General features: G+C 52.5%; 1 protein-coding gene and 1 long non-coding RNA gene across 4 annotated transcripts in view; one reads left to right on the plus strand and one right to left on the minus strand.

The window, feature by feature from the left end:
• Positions 1–2,001: 2,001 nt before the first annotated feature.
• UBOX5-AS1 (UBOX5 antisense RNA 1) overlaps positions 2,002–20,738 on the plus strand; it is a 43,957-nt gene continuing 25,220 nt past the window's right edge. The window contains exons 1-5 of the long non-coding RNA NR_038395.1: positions 2,002–2,662; positions 4,566–4,841; positions 5,369–5,544; positions 5,723–5,808; positions 6,735–6,843. This is a non-coding gene — a long non-coding RNA (UBOX5 antisense RNA 1). The remainder of the gene's footprint in view (positions 2,663–4,565; positions 4,842–5,368; positions 5,545–5,722; positions 5,809–6,734; positions 6,844–20,738) is intronic.
• UBOX5 (U-box domain containing 5) overlaps positions 2,664–20,738 on the minus strand; it is a 52,293-nt gene continuing 34,218 nt past the window's right edge. The window contains exons 2-5 of one of the 3 annotated variants that reach the window (NM_001267584.2): positions 18,403–18,497; positions 16,475–17,675; positions 10,396–10,557; positions 2,664–5,400 (exon numbers count right to left, since the gene is read on the minus strand). In NM_001267584.2, the coding sequence (NP_001254513.1) occupies positions 5,279–5,400; positions 10,396–10,557; positions 16,475–17,675; positions 18,403–18,456 (1,539 nt within the window). In that variant the 5' untranslated portion in view covers positions 18,457–18,497 and the 3' untranslated portion in view covers positions 2,664–5,278. Of the gene's footprint in view, positions 5,406–10,395; positions 10,558–16,474; positions 17,676–18,402; positions 18,498–20,738 lie in introns of all 3 variants that reach the window. The other 2 variants (NM_014948.4, NM_199415.3) reach the window with 2 other exon arrangements.

The raw sequence follows: 20,738 nt of genomic DNA on the forward strand, positions 1-20,738 counted from the left end.
CCACCCAAAGTGCTGGGATTACAGGCGTGAGCCACCGCATCTGGCCTGGATTTTGAATTAGGACAGTTTTCCTCACTCCCAGGTTGCGAAGGAGTTCTCTCGTTTTCCATTTATCTCTAGTTCTTCCATGGTTTCATTCGCCCAGTGACTGCAGCGCCACCTGTGGAAAGGTCAGTTTTCCACCATTCCTGCCTTGCAGTACACAAAATTTCCATGTGTAGTTGGGCCTGCCTATGGGTTTTTCATTCTGTTCTGTTCATCTGCCTGTGTATTCGTGGGTTAGTTCTCCCCACCCACAAACCAAACTGTTCTTTTTCAGAGTTTTCCTGGCTACCTTGACTTATTCTTACAAATGAGCTTTATTTTTATTTTTTTTTGAGATGGAGTTTTGCTCTTGTTGCCCAGGCTGGAGTGCAGTGGTGCGATCCTGGCTAGTGAGATCACTTGAACCTCTGCCTCCCGGGTTCAAGCGATTCTCCTGCCTCAGCCTCCTGAGTAGCTGGGATTACAGACGTGCGCCACCACACCCGGCTAATTTTTTGTCTTTTTAGTAGAGACAGGGTTTCACCATGTTGGCCAGGTCTCAAACTCTCGACCTCAGGTGATCCACCTACCTCGGCCTCCCAAAGTGCTGGGATTACAGGCATAAACCACCGTGCCCGGCCTACAAATGAGCTTTACAAGAAGAGTATCTAACGACAAAGGCAAATGTCCATGAGATAGTGTTAGAAATAGCAGGCAACAGACCCACACACTATATACCTAGAAATATTTTTTTCTTTACAGAAAAACATTGAAAGGGAAAACATCAAGATGTTTGTGTGGTGCTCACTTGATAGCCGGGTTAAGGGTAGCGTTATCCTATTATTGGTGAAAACCCGGAGGGAATAAACTTGACCCTCCCAAGTCTTCCTCCTTTGTCCTCACCTTAGTCCTGTGCCACTCTGGAGATCTTGTCACCCCTCTTGGCACAGACAGAGCCATTTCAGGCACCTCTCTGCAAGGGAGGGAGTGCATTACAGCCAGGTGGAGCCTGGGTGCACCGCTTCTGCCCAGCGGGGGAGGAAGGCAGGTGGGGTTCAAGCCTGTCTGATTTTGTACACCATTGTTTTGCTCTCCTGCCCCCATGGGGGGGGGGGCTTTCCTCCTCTCCCAGGTGACAGTTCATAAGAGGGAAGGGCGACAAGCTCTTATTTTGGCCCAGCACTGTCCAGGAGAACTTTCGGTGATGGTGGAAATGGTCTCTATCTGTGCTGTCCAATATAGGACCCACCTGTGCTGATCATAACTCCCAAAACAGGATCCCCATCACCATAATCCTAAATGTTGAAATCCTGAAAGATCAAAATCCCTGAAGTCTGAAATCCTAAAAATCACAATCTCAAAAGTCCAAATTTAAGAAGACTTAATTGTACCTAATTTCAAATCTGTCACTTATGGTTTGGGGATTCAATTAGACATCAGGGATTTTAGACTTCAGGGATTTTGATCTTTAGGGATTTCAACATTCGGTGTTATGGCCTTTGGGACTGTGTCTTTTGGGATTATGGCCGAAACCCAGTAGCCACTAACCCCATGTGACTATCAAGCACTTTAAATGTAGGTGGTGTGAGTAATGAACCGAGTTTAAAAATTCATTTACTTTTAATTAAATAGCCACTGTGGCTAGTGGCTACTCTACTGGACAGTGCGGTTTTCACTAATTCACAACCCAGCCCTGCCCCTTCCAATCCAGAACTGGAAGGAAAGAGCCTGCACTGGCAAACACGCTGAGCAGCCAGGTGAGGTGACAGCAGGCCTAGCCGGGGGGGGCCAGCTCTGAAGCCAGGACCTGCTCAACGAAGGCCCACAGGAGTCCTGGGGGAGAAATCAGCCTGAAGCAGCTTCCCACCCCAGTGGCCATCACAATGGCAGCCAGCCCAGCCTCACAATGTCACAATACCACAGGCAGGAGGCCGGGCAGGCAAAGTGGTTTCCTCCAGGGCAGGACTCTTTGTCTGCAGACCTACTTACAGCCACCGAGCGTCAGAAGGCCCATCTCCTGGGGAATGGAAAAGTGCCCAGCCGCTGGGAGGCCTCAAGCTGGAGAGCTACGGGGGAAGCAGGGCAGGTGTGGGGCTGGGAGAAGCTACTAAGCCCCACACCCCAGGTGCTCTGGGGCCTCGCAGCCCAGCTGCAGGGAGATGGAACACTGTGAGCAGCTGTTCTTCTTCCTGGCCATTTGGTTCATCTACTTCTTTTCTGATGCCAACCTCTCTTCCACCTACTCAGGGGCTGGAAGGGCGACTGGAGAGCCAAGCCCCTGCGAGTGAGGACAGAGAATGGCCAAAGGCAGAGCCACAGGGTAGACCTTTGCACCTTGGGAGGAGAGATTTGGAGAATGGTGCTGCCTGGGCCCCTTTGCCCCCACCAAACCGCAGGGGTACCATGGCCCTGACCTGCGTTCAGAGGGCCGAGTCAATGTCACAGGAAGGGGAAGAGACATGTGCCCACAGACCCTGTGGTCATGGAGGGGGTGGAAGATCTCTGGAGGGCAGCAGGGCCACAGCAAGGCTCTGAGGTCCTGAGTCTTCTCCGTCCGTGGACTTAAACTCTGCGTGTTTACAGCTGTTCTGTGCCTGGGTCCAGGCTCTAGTGAGAAATAAACTGCCTTCAGAGCCAGGTGACAGCAAAAGAAATTTTATTCCCATTTTCTAGGGGACAGAAACAGAGCCCAGTGGTGCCTAGCATGTTTCTGGCAAGGGTAGTGAAAAGACCACTTCCTTTTGGGGGAAGTCTTTCAATTAAGAAAAACACACGCAACTCCTGGGGGTGGCTCCACCTGTACCCAGGACAGGGCCTGCCACTCCAGGGGCTCCCAGGCTGGATTTTCCACCAGAGCAGTCTTGGGGGCAGGAGCCTGTTAGAAATGCAGATCCCCAGGGACCTGCAGCGGTCTGGGCAGTACCTCCAACACAGCTGCTTAAGGGGAGGCAGTCCGGCCCTCATCTGGGAGCGCCGTGCTGACGCTGACTGCACGCTAGGGCTCTCGGGGTTGGGTGGACAGGGTTTCTCCGAGAGATGGGCTCCCAGCAGCCAGAGCACACTGTGGGTGTCAAGCTGCTGGTGGGAAGCAGGCTGTTCCCTGAGACCATGACAGGGTGAAGGTGGGAATCACCAGCCCCCACACTCACCAAGAAATGCTTTTGCTACATGCTGGGGCTTTTTTCTTTTTTTGAGAGGGAGTCTCACTCCGTCGCCCAGGCTGGAGTACAGTGGTGAGATCTCGGCTCACTGCAACCTCTGCCTCCCCGGTTCAAGCGATTCTCATGCCTCAGCCTCCTGAGTAGCTGGCATTACAGGCACACACCACCATGCCCAGCTAATTTTTGTATTTTTAGTAGAGATGGGGTTTTGCCATGTTGGCCAGGCTGGTCTCGAACTCTTGACCTCAAGTGATCCACCCACCTTGGCCTCCCAAAGTGCTGGGATAATAGGCATGAGCCACCATGCCCGGCCATGCTGGGGCTTTTCTAAGAACACAAGCACACCGGAGGGTAAGACAAGATTCTGGAGAGGCACAGACCCAGAAAGCCAGGGGCACACAGGAGCCTCGCCAGCGAGGGCGGCACAGGCCATCCATGCGGACCCTCAAATCTCATGTGAAGGCTGCATCAAGGTCAGTGCCAAGAGGAAGCAGAGCAAAGCATGTGACCACCTCTCTGAAGCCATCTTTGTGGACAAATGATGTAGGAACTCAAAAAAATGCAGGCTTGGCTAGGCGAAGTGGCTCATGCCTGCAATCCAAGCACTTTGGGAGGATCGCTTGAGCCCAGGAGTTTGAGACCAGTCTGGACAACATAGCAAGACCTTGTCTCTACAAAAAATAAAAAAATTAGCTGGGCATGGTGGCACATGCCTATAGTTCCTGCTACCTGGGAGGCTGAGGTAGAAGGATCCCTTAAGCCCAGGAGTTCGAGGCTGCAATGAGTTATGATTGCACCACTGCCCTCAAGCTTGGGCAACAGAGACCAACCCTGTCTCAATTAAAAAAAAAAAAAAAAAAGCAACTAACCCCAAACCCAGATCTCTAAAGTATTGGGTGTGGACTAGAGCTCTGGACGGCCTAAAGGAAAGGAATGTGCCGGTTCACAGGGACCCGCGGCTAAGCTCAAGGGTAAAATACAGCTTTACAAAGCATCTTTAGGCTGTTCCTTCCCAAACGTGCTTAGAAGGGAACAGGGAAAGGCGGGTGTGTTTTCTCACTGAGGTTCTTCTAGTGGCTGGAATCTGATAGAGTACCAAGTTGTAGGGATATGGATATATTTTCCCTTTGGCACTCCATAAAGCTAAATGTTGGGCTGAAAAAAGGATGCAGCCTATAAACAAGTATTTTTCCTGAAACCAACTGCATGAGGAAACGCTGCGCTCCCCCTCAGGGAGCAGTTTCTGAAGCCAGCTGAGCACAGCTGGCACTGGCCAGAGGGAGCCCTCCACCCTCCCACCACGTATGCCCACCTGCAAACCTGGGTTCTGAGTCCCCATGCAGGGGACAGACCTGAAAATTCCAGTTTGTGTCCTTTCAGGTCATCGACAGGAATGACAGCCTGGCAAGCTGCAGTGACTGCACACAGCTACCCTGTGAGCTCCACTTGTGTGGGTGCAGGTGGGCGACAGGAGTGTGTGACACAGACAGGCACTCCACCAGGAGGAAACCCACAGCAGACGTCAACCATCGCTTTATTAAGGCTGCGAGTCGGGGGGCTGAGTCATGCACTCCACAGACACCCCCACTGCTCCCAAGGTCCACTTTTGGATGACCCTGAAGGCAGAGACTCCTGAGATCTGGGCCACAATCTAGGGTGAGCCACCCACAGTGCCCTGCTGGACAGGGGGGTATGCGGACTGCACGGGGGGGCCCTCAGCAGGGGTCTTCCTGCCTAGGGTGGGGCTGGCTCCAGTGGGTCCTGGGCTCAGGCAGGGGGGGTGGCAGGGAGGCAGGGACATCCCCCCGCCCTCTGGCCTATGGCTTTGTTGCCCTATTGCCACCAGCGCAGAAGCAATGTGCTATACCGTGAGGTGATGAAGAAGAGCCCCGGGAGGGAGCAGGCAGCTCTGTGCCTGGGGCCTGGCCAGACCTCAGGGGTGCTGTGGCCCTGCTCCTGTTCCCCCTCAGCTCCTCCCAGCAATGGGTCTCCTCCAGTGGAGGTCAGTCACTCAGAAGTGGACCCGCAGCACGTCTTGGCTAGCAACCGGCCGCTGGCAGGCTGTGCACGTCATGGGCAGGGAGCGTTGCTTCTCACCCAGGCAGGGTCGGCACAGGAGGTGGCCGCAGGGCAGCTGGTACACCGGCTCCTTTTTGAAGTAGGGAGAAAATACTCTTTTGCAGGAGGCACATTCGGGGCCCAGGATGCTCCCAGGCTGCTCTGGTAAATCAGGAAGGAAAACAGGCCAGGGTTAGGAAAGCTGCTCCATGGTCCAGGCTGCTCTGAGGGGCAGAGCCTTCCCACCGTGCTGCTGCAGCATCTGGCTTCATCCCTCCCGAGTCCATCCCAGTCTGATCAGGTAGGGGAGTGGAAGCGGGAGAGGGAGCCTGGGAACCCGGGAGGCCTCTTCTCTATCATCTTTGACCAAATCTCAGTGCCTCTACGAATGCTTGAGAAGAGCTGGCTTCTGAGGGCAGCAGGCAGGACTGGGCCCTTCCTCCTGGTCTCCCAGCAAGGTTTACTTTCCCCTGCGATAGGTGGCCAAGGCTGGAGCAAGGCACAGCTCACTCTGACAAGATAAACTGCAAGAAATGTGAGAGGCGACAAGAGAAGGAAAAGGCAGGTCAGTGGGGTGGCTCAAGCCTGTAATCCCAGCATTTTGGGAGGTTGAGACAGGAGGATCACTTGAAGCCAGGAGTTCGAGACCAGCCTGGGCAACATAGTGAGATACTGTCTCTACAAAAAAGAAAAAAAAAAAAAAAGGAAAAGCAGCACATGGTCCAGTGCACCAAGGTTGGGGAAGTGTGAGAAGGGAGGTCAGCAGAGACAAGGCTGAGGCCTGCAGTGCACCTGCCACTGGGGCCTAGCTCCTGCTCCCTTCAGCCCTGCAGCCTGCAGCCCCCTCACTGCTACTGGCAGCCCTGCTCCTGACTCCTCAGTCCCCCTCCTGTGCTGCCCTGGCCCTCTCGGCAGGCTCTCCCTTCTTCCGCAACTCCTTCAGGGCATCCTTGAATGAGGGTCACAGTGAGCAGCTCTGGCCATGCCCCACCAGGCTGCACCCACGGCTCTTCCTTTCCTCATGGCCCCTCTGGAGAGTGACAGGGGATGGGCTTGCCTGTCCTCCTTGTGGTCCATGTCTCCATTCCTAGCCACTACTCTCTGGAGGACCCCAAAGGAACCTCAAACCAATTTGCTTCAGAATTGTTTCTTAACCCCCCTTCTCTCTGTCCATTTCATCACCATAATCCAGGCCGCTCGACACATCTCTTCCTAACTATTCACCTGCTCCAGGCTTGTCTTCTCAATCTGTCCTCAAAGCTGCCTCCAATGACCCACCTATGTAACTTGACCACCCCATAACTCTGCTTTCTACCTCTTAGGAGCTTCCCAACTTTCGGGACAGTCAAGACTCCCTGCACGGCCCACCCAGCCTCCTCACCTCTCTTCACACCAGTCTCAACTTTTAGAGTCCAGCAGCTTCCAATCACTTCTTTGCACACTCTGCGCTGCTGGCCTCCTCACTTTGTGCTTGCTGTTCCCTCTGCCTAGAATGCCCTTATCTGGAGACCTGGCTTAGACCACACCCATTCCATGACGCCACCCCGGATTGCCCCTTTCCTGTGCTTTCAGAGCCCACCAGCCCTTCTCAGCCTCCAAGGTAGGATGCCTACTTCCTCCCCAGGCTTTGCAGGTCCTGAGGGTCAGGACTATGTCCATGTTTCTCATCCGGCCTCAGGACCTGGCGCAGCACCTCACAGGGCAAGTGCTCCATCCACATGTGATGAATGGACCTGCCATCTACACTCGGGCACCAGGCACCAAAGAAGGGAGGGCAGGGGTGCCCTACACGGGGAGCAGGAACTGAAGTGTTCCTGCCTCCGCATCCCTGAGAACTGTAGCCAGGAAAGAGTGGCCTGGCTGCGGGTGTTTTCTTTGGGCCAAACATTAAGCAACATAAAAGTACCGGGTGCCTCTCCTGTGCACACAAGCCAAAAATTCCCCAGTGAGTGGAAAGTTGAACCTCTACAGGGAAGGGAAGGAGGGAGGAATGAAGGTGGGGAGGGAGGGGGGAAAGAAGGGAGGGGAGGAAGCAGGAGGAAAGAGCCACTGACTGCTTTTCAGTGGTGCCCCTTTCATGCAGGCTCTGCCAGAGGCTTCAGAGATCTGCCTGACCCACAGTGCATGATGAGAATTTATTTTCCATCAGTTTTAAAAAGCACACCTGGCACAACACCACAGAAGCATGCAAGGGCCCCAATTGCCCCCAGCACTGACCAGAAGTCCCATTAAAAGATCTCAGAGGCCCAGAGCCCCAGGGGCAGTTTCAGTGACAGAAAAAAAAAAAAAAAAATCATCAAGGAAAAGACAATTATTGTGCCCTGGGCAGGATGGAAACCCAAGTATATAACTGCAAACTGAGGTGACAGAGAGGATAAAAAAGAGGGCTTGCTTTGAAAAGGGTGGGCTAACATGGCCTCCTGTAGGAAGAGCTGTGAGAATAAAAAGGGGCCAGCCACACAGAATGAAAGGAGAGCAAGCACAAAGAACAGCCTATCCGTTAAAGAAAAAGACACAGTGGTCGGGCACGGTGGCTCACACCTGTAATCCCAGTGTAATCCCAGCACTCTGGGAGGCCGAGGTGGGTGGATCACCTGAGGTCAGGAGTTCGAGACCAGCCTGACCAACATAGCGAAACCCCGTTTCTAACTAAAAATACAAAAATTAGCCGGGCGTGGTGGCGGGCGCCTGTAGCCCCAGCTACTCAGAAGGCTGAGACAGGAGGATTGCTTGAACCAGGGAGAAAGAGGTTGCAGTGAGCCAGGATTGTGCCACTGCACTCCAGCCTGGGCGACAGAGCGAGACTCCATCTCAAAAAGAAAAGAAAAAGACACAGTGAAGCTGGGTGCAGAGGCTCACACCTGTAATCCCAGCACTTTGGGAAGCTGAGGCAGGTAGATCACCTGAGGTCAGGAGTTCGAGACCAGCCTGGCCAACATGGCGAAACGCTGTCTCTACTAAATATACAAAAAAAAAAAAAAAAAATTAGCTGGGCTTGGTGGCGTTTGCCTGTAATCCCAGCTACTAGTGGGGGCTGAGACAGGAAGATTGCTTGAACCCAGGAAGTGGAGGTTGCAGTGAGCCGAGATTGCGCCATTGTACTCTAGCCCGGGCAACAGAGCGAAACAGAGCAAGACTCTGTCTCAAAAAAAAAAAAAAAAAAAAGACACAGTGAGAGTGGGCTTCAGATAAGACTGCAGAGGAGGAGACATGGGGGCTCCAGCAGGCAGGACCTCAGAGGGAGTAGGAGTTGAGGTTTTATCCTAAGTTCAGGGGATGCCATGGTAGGATTTGAAGAAGTGGAGCATGGTGATGGGCTGACATGATAAAAAGATCCAACTGCTATGAGTATGATGAGCCACAGTAAGGCGAGGATGGGGGGATACCAGCAGGGGCTACTGCAGGAGTCTGGGAGTGAGGCAGTGGGAGCTGCAGCCAGGGGAGGGGCCACAGAAGGAGAGCAGGGGACTAACCTGAGGTCACCTTGGGGGAGGATGGACAGGACCTGATAATGAACAGAATGTCAGGATGGGGACACTGAAGGAACTCGAGAATGACTTCTGTGTTAGAAGCCTCACCACAAGACAGAAGATGCTGCCCTTACCCAGGTAGGATGATGGGGGCAGTGAGGGGGAAAAGCTCTGGAGGGCAGATGTGAGCAGTACAGAGTCTGAATGTTTCCTTTAGAGAGGATGCTGAGCCTGGCCATGATGGCTCATGCCTGTATTCCCAGCACTTTGGGAGGCCGAGGCAGATGGATCACCTGAGGTCAGGAGTTCAAAACCAGCCTGGCCAACATGGTGAAACCCCATCTCTACTAAAAATACAAAAATTAGCTGGGCGTGGTGGCGGGTGCCTGTAATCCCAGCTACTTGGGAGGCTGAGGCAGGAGAATCACTTGAACCTAGGAGGCGGAAGTTGCAGTGAGCTGAAATCGCGCCATCGCACTCCAGCTAGGGCAACAGGGGCAAGACTCCATCTTAAAAAAAGAAAAAAGAGAGAGGATGTTGAGTGCTGTCAGGGCGGCAGGATGAGTTCCAAGGAGAAGCAGGAGCTACAGGGGAACATGGACAGTTGCCGGAGATGTGAGTTTTCACTTGGGTAACAGAGAATATTGAGATTAGAGAGTCCAGGGCCAGAGCTGGTAGAGAAGGCAATTGGCAATGGAAACTGAAGAGGGACCACCGAAGATAGGAGAAAAGAAGCAAAACAGCCTAAAAGCCAAGAGAGAAGGCGTTTCGCACAGCAGGAGCTCCATCTCGTAAAAAATGCCTCCCGTTGCAATCAGTTTCTGTTGCTTTGTATCCTAATAGATTCTGGCATACAATGGGGGTCAAGGTTCATTTTAGGCAAAATTGGCCCATAAGCTGCCACTGCTCTTTCTAAGACACTGACGGAAGTGTTAATCTGAAGGGATGAGGACGACAAACCCAACCAAACCTCTCTTCACATTTACATAAAGTGCCCCGGATGTCAGACTGCAGACTGGCTAGATGAGAAAAAAATAACAAAAAAGGCCAGGCGCGGTGGCTCACTCCTGTAATCTCAGCGCTTTGCGAGGCCGAGGCGGGCGGATCACGAGGTCGGGAGTTCGAGACCAGCCTGGCAACATGGTGAAACCCCGTCTCTACTAAAAATACAAAAAATTAGCCGGGCATGGTGGCGGGCGCCTGTAATCCCAGCTACTCAGGAGGCTGAGGCAGGAGAATAGCTTGAATCCAGGAGGCGGAGGTTGCAGTGAGCTGAGACTGTGCCACTGCACTCCAGCCTGGGCAACAGGGCGAGATGCAGTCTCAAATAAATAAATAAATAACAAACAAAAAAAAGAGAAACAAAAATCCTCAGGAGAAAATAATTAACATTAGATCTCACAAGGAAACACATCAGAGGGTGGCCAAGCCCTACATCCACAGAATTACTAAGGATTGACTAAAGAAAGCCTTTCTTGTGGGGAGTTTAAGTTCATAGGCAGCCCCTCAACTACCCCTGGAAAAGGCAAGAGAACAGGTTCTCTCCCAGGGTGGGTGTTGGAACTGACGGGGAGGCTGGCCAGGCAGGTCCACAGAGCCCCCAGGGACTCGGCCCAGCATCCAGAGACAGAAAACAGACCACCCATTCCAAGGCTCCAAGGAGATGGCGGGGCCCATGTTACCCGAGCCGGTGCCAGGCCTCCAGGAAGTGTTGCTCCCTCTTGTGCCAAGGTGCTGGAGCTGTCCCCTGGTCAGCCGTGCCGTGAAGGAGGGCATAGAGCCAAGGGTGGATGCCAAGGCAATTTCCAAGCTTTGTGACAGCTTCTGCTCGTGGGACAGTGGACCTGTCGAGAGATGCGCACAGCACAACATCCAGAGACAGGCTCCGCAAAAGAGAACAGCCTCAAGTCCTTCGAGGGCTGTAAAAACGGCACCTCCAATCTCACACATCAATGTAATGAAACTCCATCCTAATGTCTACTGGCGGACCATGACAGAACACCGGGAGGTAAAGCCCTAGGAACACCGGCAGTTCCTGCCCATCCCACCGGCTTCAGGCTTTTCTCCTCCTGGAGAAACTGCTGGGCAGACATGAGCCACCTCGTGGCTCAACTGCAGAACTGCACGCTCCTTTTTTTTTTTTTTTTTTTTTTTGAGATGGAGCCTTGGTCTGTCGCCCAGGCTGAGAAGGAGTGCAGGGGTGCCATCTCAGCTCACTGCAACCTTCGCCTCCTGGATTCAAGCGATTCTCCTGTCTCAGCCTCCCAAGTAGCTGGGACTACAGGTGTGCGCCACCACGCCTGGCTAATTTTTTGTATTTTAGTAGAGACGGGGTTTCACCATGTTGGCTAGGAGATCTCCTGACCTCGTGATCCACCTGCCTCAGCCTCCCAAAGTGCCGGGATTACAGGCGTGAGCCACAGCGCCTGGCCTCCTTTCTAAAGGCCTCCTTGCTGGCCAAGAAAATAACTGGGGCAAGCAAACGCCAGCTTTGGACTGCTGCTCCCTGCCCCCCATTCCCTCCCCAGCGGCCTTAGTCTTCTCTTTCCCTAACTCCACCCTTCTGGGGACCCCACCACCCCCCAGAGGGGTTCATCTGCATTTTCTAGGTGTTCATGTCCTCTCTCTCCTGTTAAGTAAAACAAAGCAGTTTTTACCGAATAGAACTAAGACCCCACGTTGACCACGCCACAATTTAGGGGACCTTTAGTGTAGGATCAACAGAAAGCCAAGCCATGGAATGAGGGTGAAGGCCAAAGGGGTAGGGGGACAGCTGCCCAAGAAAGACCCCAGGGACCTGTGTGGCAGAAAAATTTGCAATGCTGTCTCAAAGAGGAGAATGGAAACTTTTGTCCACTGTTTGCAGGACACAGGACATCAGCTCAGGGCCTTGAAGGAGCCCTAGTCAGCGTGGTCCTGAGTCACCAAGTCTGTCAAGGCCAACAGGACTGAGACCTCCACAAACTGACGCTGAAGTCTAAGGACCTTTTTCCTTGTTCCACCCCACTGCGCCTCAGATGTTTCCAGGAGTTTCTGAAGGTCATGTTAACTAGAATTTACTCTTAAAACCAAAGACACAGAAATAAACGTTAAGCATAGTATTTGCATAGTCTTTTAGAAGAACATAGGAAACTAAAAGAATGATCAACCTAAACAGAATAATTTCCATAAGGAAAAAGAAAAGGTTGCCAGGCCAGGCACAGTGGCTCACACCTGTAATCCCAGCACTTTGGGAGGCTGAGACAGGCAGATCGCCTGAAGTCAGGAGTTCAAGACCAGCCTGGTCAACATGGCGAAATCCTGTCTCTACTGAAAATACAAAAATTAGCCAGGCGTAGTAGTGCGTGCCTGTAATCCCAGCTACTCGGGAAGCTGAGGCAGGAGATTCGCTTGAACTCAGGAGGCAGAGGTTGCAGTGAGCCATAATCACACTACTGCACTCCAGCCTGGGTGACAGAGCGAGACTCCATCTCAAAAAAAAAAAGGAAACGTGTCAAAGAGCTACCCTCCACAAGCACCAAGCACTGACAATCACAAGGACTTCTACTAGACAGGCAGAGTGGGTATTCCAATACTATTCAATTGTTCCACAGCACAGAAAAGAAAAAATTCTAAATTCTTTCTATGGAACAAAAAAATCATCAATGACACCTGACCAAAGATGGCACACACACACACACACACACACACACACACACACACACACTACAGTCCAACCCCACTAATGAATACAAAAATCCTAACACTAGCAAACAGAACCATTAAAATCTATTAACAGGGGCCAGGCGCTGTAGCTCATGCCTGTAATCCCAGAGTTTTGGGAGGCCAAGGCGGGTGGATTGCCTGAGCTCAGGAGTTTGTGACCAGCCTGGGCAACATGGTGAAACACCGTCTCTAATAAAATACGAAAAATTAGCCGGGTGTGGCGGCATGTGCCTGTAGTCCCAGCTACTCAGGAGGCAGAAGCAGGAGAATTGCTAGAATCCAGGAGGCAGAGGTTGCAGTGAGCCAAGATCGCACAAGTGCACTCCAGCCCGGGCGACAGAGCGAGACTCCGTCACTATATAGATAAATAAATAAATAACAGGGCTGGGCGTGGTGGCTCACACTTGTAATCCCAGCACTTTGGGAGGCTGAGGCAGGCAGATCACCTGAGGTCAGGAGTTCAAGACCAGCCTGGCCAACATGGCGAAACCCCATCTCTACTACAAATACAAAAATTAGCCAGGCATGGTGGCGAGCGCCTGTAATCTCAGCTAATCAGGAGGCTGAGGCAGGAAAATCACTTGAATCCGGGAGGCGGAGGTTGCAGTGAGCAGAGATTGCGACACTGCACTCCAGCCAGGGCGACAGAATGAGACTCTGTCTCAAAAAATAAAAATAAAAATAAAAAAAATTAGCCAGTATGGTGCTGTGCGCCTGTAGTCTTGGCTACCGAGGCAGGAGAATCACTTAAATCCCAGCAGCAGAGGTCGCAGTGAGCAGAGATTGCGTCACTGCTGCACTCCAGCCTGGGCGACAGAGGGAGACTGTTTCCAAAAAAACAAAACAAAAAGAAACCATTAACAGGCCGGGCACTATCGCTCATGCCTGTAATCCCAGCACTTTGGGAGGCTGAGGCAGGTAGATAACCTGAGGTCAGGAGTTCAAGATCAGCTTGGCCAACATGACAAAACCCAGTCTATACTAAAAATACAAAAATTAGCTGGGCACGGTTGTGGGCACCTGTAATCCCAACTACTCTGGAGGCTGAGGCAGGAGAATTGCTTAGACCAGGAGGCAGAGGTTGCAGTGAGCCAAGATTGTGCTATTGCACTCCAGCCTGGGTGACAGAGTGAGACTCTGCCTCATAAAAATACAAAAATCAGCCAGGTGTAGTGGCTCACACCTGTAATCCCAGCACTTTGGGAGGCCGAGGTGGGTGGATCATGAGGTCAGGAGATCAAGACCATCCTGGCTAACACAGTGAAACCCCGTCTCTACTAAAAGTATTAAAAAAATTAGCCAGGTGTGCTGGCGGGCGCCTGTAGTCCCAGCTACTCAGGAGGCTGAGGCAGGAGAATGGCGTGAACCAGGGAGGCGGAGCTGGCAGTGAGCCAAGATCGCGCCACTGCACTCCAGCCTGGGCGACAGAGCGAGACTCCGTCTCAAAAAAAAAGAAAAAAAATCAGCCAGGCGTGTTGGCACGCACCTATAGTCCCAGCTATTCCAGAGGCTGAGGCATGAGAATTGCTTGAACCCGGGAGGCAGAGATTGAAGTGAGCCGAGATCACACCACTGCACTCTACCCTGAGTGACACAGTGAGACTCCATCTCAAAAAAAAAGGAAGGAAGGAAGGAATTATTTAGGTTGAATTACACAGAAGTTTGTCACTGATCTGTGTTCTCGAACTAAGAAATATGAAGATGGAGGCTAAGAAATCATTTCTCTTAATATTATAAATAAGCAATTAACAAATACCTTGGGAAAAATAAGAATACAATAGAAGTGAGGAGTGTGACTTTCAAGATTACATTCTAAAAGATGGATTTCCCTCGTCTGTGCACTCTCTCTGGAACGCACAGCTCCCACACAGTACACTGCCCTATGGAGAGGCCCACAAGGCAAGGAACCGAGGGCAGCCTTGGGCCAACAGCCAACCAGCAAGTGAGGCCTCAGTCCAACAATGCATCAACGAGCTGAATCTTGCAACAATGATGTGGGTGAGACTAGAAGTAAATGCTTCCCCAGTTGATCCTTGAGATGACCACAGCCTCAGCCACCAGTTTGATGGCAGACTTGGAAGACCCTGAAGCAGAGAATCCAGCCAAGTTACGCTGGGATTTGTGATCCACAGAAGTTATGAGACAATGAATGTTTGTTGCTGTAAGCCAGTAAGTTTTGGGGTAATTTGTTACCTAGCAATAGATAACCAATACTTCTTTAACATGATAAAAACATCTATCTCAGGCCAGGCGCGGTGGCTTATACCTGTAATCCTAGCACTCTGGGAGGCTGAGGTGGGCGAATCACCTGAGGTCAGGAGTTCGAGACCAACCTGGCCAACATGGTGAAAACCTGTCTTTACTAAAAATACAAAAAATTAGCCGGTGTGGTGGTACATGCCTGTAATCCCAGCTACTTGGGAGGCTGAGGCAGGAGAATTGCTTGAAGCTGCGAGGCGGAGGCTGCAGTGAGACGAGATTGCGCCATTGCACTCCAGCCTGGGTAACAGAGTGAGGCTCCATCTCAACAACAACAAAAAAACATCTATCTCAGCCTAAGATCCAACATCCAGCTTGCCCTGAGGTATTCACACTGAACACATTCAGCTGCAGAGGTCACCCAGTGAACCAGGGCTGCTCACCTCAGGAGAGAGCAGCATCACCGGCCCTAGAAATCACTGGCAATGCCCCAGGGAAGAGGCAGGAAGCCAGGATCCTTAAATCTCATACTCAAGAATGTTGCAGGCCAGGCACAGTGGCTTGCAGATCCCAGCACTTTAGGAAGCCGAGGCAGGTGGATCACGAGGTTAACAGGTTGAGACCATCCCGGGCACCATGGTGAAACCCCTTCTCTACTAAAAATACAAAAATTAGCTGGGCGTGGTGGCGCGCGTCTGTAATCCCAGCTACTCCAGAGGCTGAGGCAGGAGAATCACTTGAACCTGGGAGGCGGAGGTTGCAGTGAGCCAATATCACGCCACTGCACTCCAGCCTGGTGACAGAGCGAGACTCCATCTCAAAAAAAAAAAAAAAAACAGAAGTCGAGTGCAGTGGCTTACATCTGTAATCCCGGCACTTTGGGAGGCCAAGGTGGGTGGATCACAAGGTCAGGAGATTGAGACCATCCTAGCTAACAAGGTGAAACCCCGTCTTTACTAAAAATACAAAAACTTAGCCAGGCGTGGTGGCGGGCGCCTAATCCCAGCTACTCGGGAGGCTGAGGCAGGAGAATGGTGTGAACCCGGAAGGCAGAGCTTGCAGTGAGCCGAGATCATGCCACCGCACTCCAGCCTGGGCGACACAGCGAGACTCCATCTCAAAAAAAAAAAAAAAAGATTGTTGCAATTTTACCTGGTGGATCCTGCCAAATGCAATAAAGAAGAAAAACAGAAAAAAACACAAAGAGAATATTGCAATTTGTCCACACATTTACTGAGTGCACCCTCTTCAGTGTGGCTTTTCTCTTCAGTAACCCTCTCCTGAAAGGAAGGCCCACAGACCTAGTCCTTTTTCCTTTTCTGTGTCCTCATGCCACATGGTGAGGGGGGCGCACAGAGAACCTCCATGCAATATATCCTTGTACCTCTGTGACGGTTAGAAATAACACCCAGAGGAGCCCACTGTCACATGAGTAACACAAAGAAGGCACCAGAAGAGATTCTCTGCTTTGAGGGACTGGTATCTTTCCTCCCAGCAGCTCTGACCAGAGGCTTCAAGCCCAGGAAAAAGTGTTGACCAGGCCAGGGCACATAAAGGGACCCCAAGGAAGGCAACAGTGCCCATGGGACCATCACCAACAGAGGAGCGAAACACGCAGACTGAAGCCTCGGAACAGATGAGAATAGACGAGAACACATGGAACCCCTCCAAGGCTCCAGGTTGTCCCTGGTCTGAAGACAAAGCTGAGGGGCCCCAGGATGGGAAACGGGAAGGAGGCAGCACAGGCACAGCCTCGGGAATGTAAGCTGGCCAAGCACAAAGCAAAGGGCAGCAGAGCTGAGAGCTCCTGGGAAGGAGATGGATGAGCCTGGCTGCGGACACAGGATGCTGAATTACCTGTCGAGCAGTCCATATGTGTCAGGCTGGGCTCATTGGTGGCTTTCATTTTCTTAGCAGTGTGCTCTGAGGTAGTGGGTAAGACCAAAGGGCTTGTGGCAGAAAAACAGGAAGCATTTACACCAAAGTTACTGTCTGGGACATGTTCAGCCTGCTCTATCTTCCTTTTCTGAGAGGGCAGAACAATGGAAGAAGGGATCACTGCCAATGCCGTCTGTGCTCTCCCAAGCAGGTGGCAGCCAGGGATGGAGTGCTGGAGCAGGAAATGGTCAATCCGGGCCTTGAGGGAGGGGTGAGGCAGGGGCTGAGAGTGCGGAGTAAAAGCTACCCCCGTGAAAGGGTCACTGGGCACTCGGCCCCATGTGGCTTCACTGCGGTTACACTTCTCCAGTGTGCTCTGGTCGATGACCTTGCCTGAGGGCAGCAGCATGGGACAAGGCATGATCTCCAGGGTGATGGGATCCAGGAACTCCTCAGGCACATCCTGAATGATCTCGGCCAGCTTCTGCAGGCTGGAGGGAGCCTGCTGGCTCTCAGGCTGGTCCCCAGGGTCACAGTCACTTTCCATGGGCAAGGCTGGAGCCTGCAGAGCCACATCCTGAGGCAGGTTCTCTGAGGTGACCAGCAGGATGCTGTCTATCACTTCCTGGGAGCAGGTCTTGGCCGGCTGACCCCACACTTCCAACCGCTTGATACAAGGGATACCGCCGCCTGTCACATGGGTGATACAGATCCTTAAGTGGGCCACGTGGCTAAGGGAAAGAGCCCCTTTATTCCAGAGCTCCTGGGCCACAACAGCAGGGGAGGGGAGTGTGGCTTCCATCGCGCCAAAAGGGGGCCTGGCCTTGAAGCCCCTGTGGCTAAACACCACTTGGCTCTGGTTTTTCAGTAAGACTTTGCCTACCAAGGTGAACGCCTCCTTGTCTGGGACAGATGGCTCAGCTGGGCCCAGGGTCCGGCACTGGGGCGTATTCCAAGACACTCTGCTAGATGAGGCAGATGTGTACATTTCCAGGCCAGTGACGTTCTGACCTCCCCCAGCTGTGAGGTCTATGTTGATCCTACAGATTTCCACATTAAAGGGAAATGAAACTGTCACATAGACTGGTGGCTTAATGAAATACTCTGTCCTGAAACCATGACTTCTCTTTGTGAGATCTTCAGAGATGAGATTTTCTACTTCGTAACCATCAGCTGATATCTAGATTTAATAAAAAACACAAGATACAATGATCCAAATGAAGACAACTTGTCACTTGTAAGAAAACTCTTAAGCCTGAGGTTCCTCGTTTTAAAATTTCCTCTATTAAACTGAATTGTCCCAGATCAGGGCACCCAAGATCAGATCAAAGGCCAAGGGCAATTGTCCCAGATCGGGGCCCCCAAGTATTGCCCAACCTTAAAAATATGAGCAACTGAGCTGGGCATGTTGGTACACACCTGTAGTCCCAGCTACTCAGGAGGCTGAGGCAGGAGGATCCCATTAGCCCAGGAGTTAGATAGGCCTGGGCAACATAGCAAGACCCCATATCCCTTTTCCCTGCCAAAAAAAAAAGCAAGCAACAAAATCCTGCCCAATCCAACCAAAACTCCCTTCAAAACAGTATCTGGGGAGAGAAGTGCAGGGGAGAGAAAGTATTTCTACCTTTGCTATGACTTTGACGAGACTGGAGATTGATCATCAAAGAACAAAGAGCACAGTGAAGAGGACCCTGCACAAAATGAGTCACAGCTCACCTCACCATGGCGCTGTGTGATTCTAGAGGTGAGCCTGCCCCATGCTTACCTAAATACCATCTGATGGAATCTAAAGTAACAAGAGCAAAAGTGCAGTAAGCCTGAATCAAATCCACACACACAAGGCAGGAAATGATGAAACACATGACAAACATAGCATATATTTATGTGTATATATTTGTTTTGTTTACCTTGTTGCAGTGAATTCTTGGTCTGAACTGTGGGAGGCAAAGATTTATTACCATCTTTGTGGCTGAGAGGATATCTTCCAAGCATCAGAAGCAGCCTTAAATAAGAAATAAAACTATGTATTAGAAAATGTAAAATTCAATTCTAAACTTTCAGAAGTTGATTCTTAAGAGAATCAAACAGGATGGCAACAAAAACTTGAACACACACACTCTCACGGTCCACACTGACTTTCCTTATATCCTATACATGATGTTGGGGAAAAATTAGTCACTGAAAAATTATAGAGAAGACTTCTATGGCAGGCTCAACAGGTTGGCAAAGACTGCCAGTTCTCTGGCCAACAGCTGTTCCAAAGACCCAATGGAGGCAAGGCCCATCAGCTGTGCTGGGGGTTGCCACAGGAAGGGAGTGGCAAAAGTATCTGAGCTCAGAGAAAGGACAGAGTGTTCGGAATGGAAAGGGTCATAAAAAATAATTATAGTGGTGGTAAGCATCCTTGTCATTTAATACTTGTCAATGCAATTATGTTTTCTTATTAAAATGAAAACAATGAGTCAAAAACATCATTATTGAGACATAGAAAATTTATTAGAGGCCAGGTGTGGTGGCTCATGCCTGTAATCCCAACAATTTGGGAGGCTGAGGTGGTAGGACTGCTTGAGCCCAGAAGTTCAAGACCAGCCTGGGAAACATAGCTGGTCTTGTTGTAGAGACCCCATCTCTACAACAAAACGTTGTAGGGATCTTGCTATGTCTGATATGCACCTGTAGTCACAACTATTTGGGAGGCTGAGGTGGATCACTTGAGCTCAGGAGTTCAAGGCTGCAGTGAGCTATGATCACACCACTGCATTCCAGCCTAGGTGACAGAGTGAGACCCTGTCTCAAAGGAAAAAAGAAAAGCCTCTCCCCTCTCCCCTCTCCCCTTTCTTCGGTCTCCCTCTGTTGCCGAGGCTGGACTGTACTGCCGTGATCTCAGCTCGCTGCAACCTCCCTGCCTCGGGCTCCCGTGATTCTCCTGCCTCGGCCTGCCGAGTGCCTGCCTTGAGTGATCTGCCCGCCTTGGCCTCCCGAGGTGCTGGGATTGCAGACGGAGTCTCGTTCACTCAATGCTCAATGTTGCCCAGGCTGGAGTGCAGTGGCGTGATCTCGGCTCGCTACAACCTCCACCTCCCAGCCGCCTGCCTTGACCTCCCAAAGTGCTAAGATTACAGCCTCTGCCCGGCCGCCACCCCATCTAGGAAGTGAGGAGCCTCTCTGCCTGGCCACCCATTGTCTGGGATGTGAGGAGAGCCTCTGCCCAGCTGCCCCATCTGGGATGTGAGGAGCACCTCTGCCCGGCCGCCCTGTCTGGGAGGTGAGGAGTGCCTCTGCCCGGCCGCCACCCTGTCTGGGATGTGAGGAGCGTCTCTGCCCGGCCGCCCTGTCTGGGAGGTGAGGAGCGCCTCTGCCCAGCCGCCACCCCGTCTGGGATGTGAGGAGCGTCTCTGCCTGGCTGCCCCATCTAGGAAGTGAGGAGCGCCTCTGCCTGGCTGCCCCTTCTGAGAAGTGAGGAGCGCCTCTGCCCAGCCGCCCCGTCTGGGAGGTGAGGAGTGCCTCTGCCTGGCCACCCATCATCTGGGAAGCGAGGAGCGCTGCTGCCCGGCCACCCCGTCTGGGAACTGAGGAGCGCCTCTGCCCGGCCGCCCCGTCTGAGAAGTGAGGAGCACCTCTGCCTGGCAGCCACCCCATCTGGTAAGTGAGGAGCATCTCTGCCTGGCCGCCCCATCTGGGAAGTGGGGAGTGCCTCTGCCCGGCCGCCCCGTCTGGAGGTGAGGAGCGCCTCTGCCTGGCAGCCACCCCATCTGGGAAGTGAGGAGCGCCACTGCCCGGCTGCACCATCTGAGAAGTGAGGAGTGCCTCTGCCTGGCAGCCACCCCATCTGGGAAGTGAGGAGTGCCTCTGCCCGGCTGCCCCGTCTGGGAGGTGAGGAGCGCCTCTGCCCAGCCGCCCATCATCTGGGAAGTGAGGAGCGCCTCTGCCCGGCTGCCCCGTCTGGGAGGTGAGGAGCGCCTCTGCCCAGCTGCCCCGTCTGGGAGGTGAGGAGCGCCTCTGCCCGGCCGCCCATCATCTGGGAAGTGAGGAGCGCCTCTGCCCGGCCGCCCCGTCTGAGAAGTGAGGAGTACCTCTGCCCGGCCGCCCATCATCTGAGAAGTGAGGAGTGCCTCTGCCCGGCCACCCATCGTCTGGGAGGTGAGGAGCACCTCTGCCCGGCCGCCCATCGTCTGGGAGGTGAGGAGCGCCTCTGCCCGGCCGCCCATCGTCTGGGAGGTGAGGAGTGCCTCTGCCCGGCCAC

Source organism: Homo sapiens, chromosome 20, assembly GCF_000001405.40.
Source record: "Homo sapiens chromosome 20, GRCh38.p14 Primary Assembly".
NCBI lineage: Eukaryota > Metazoa > Chordata > Mammalia > Primates > Hominidae > Homo > Homo sapiens.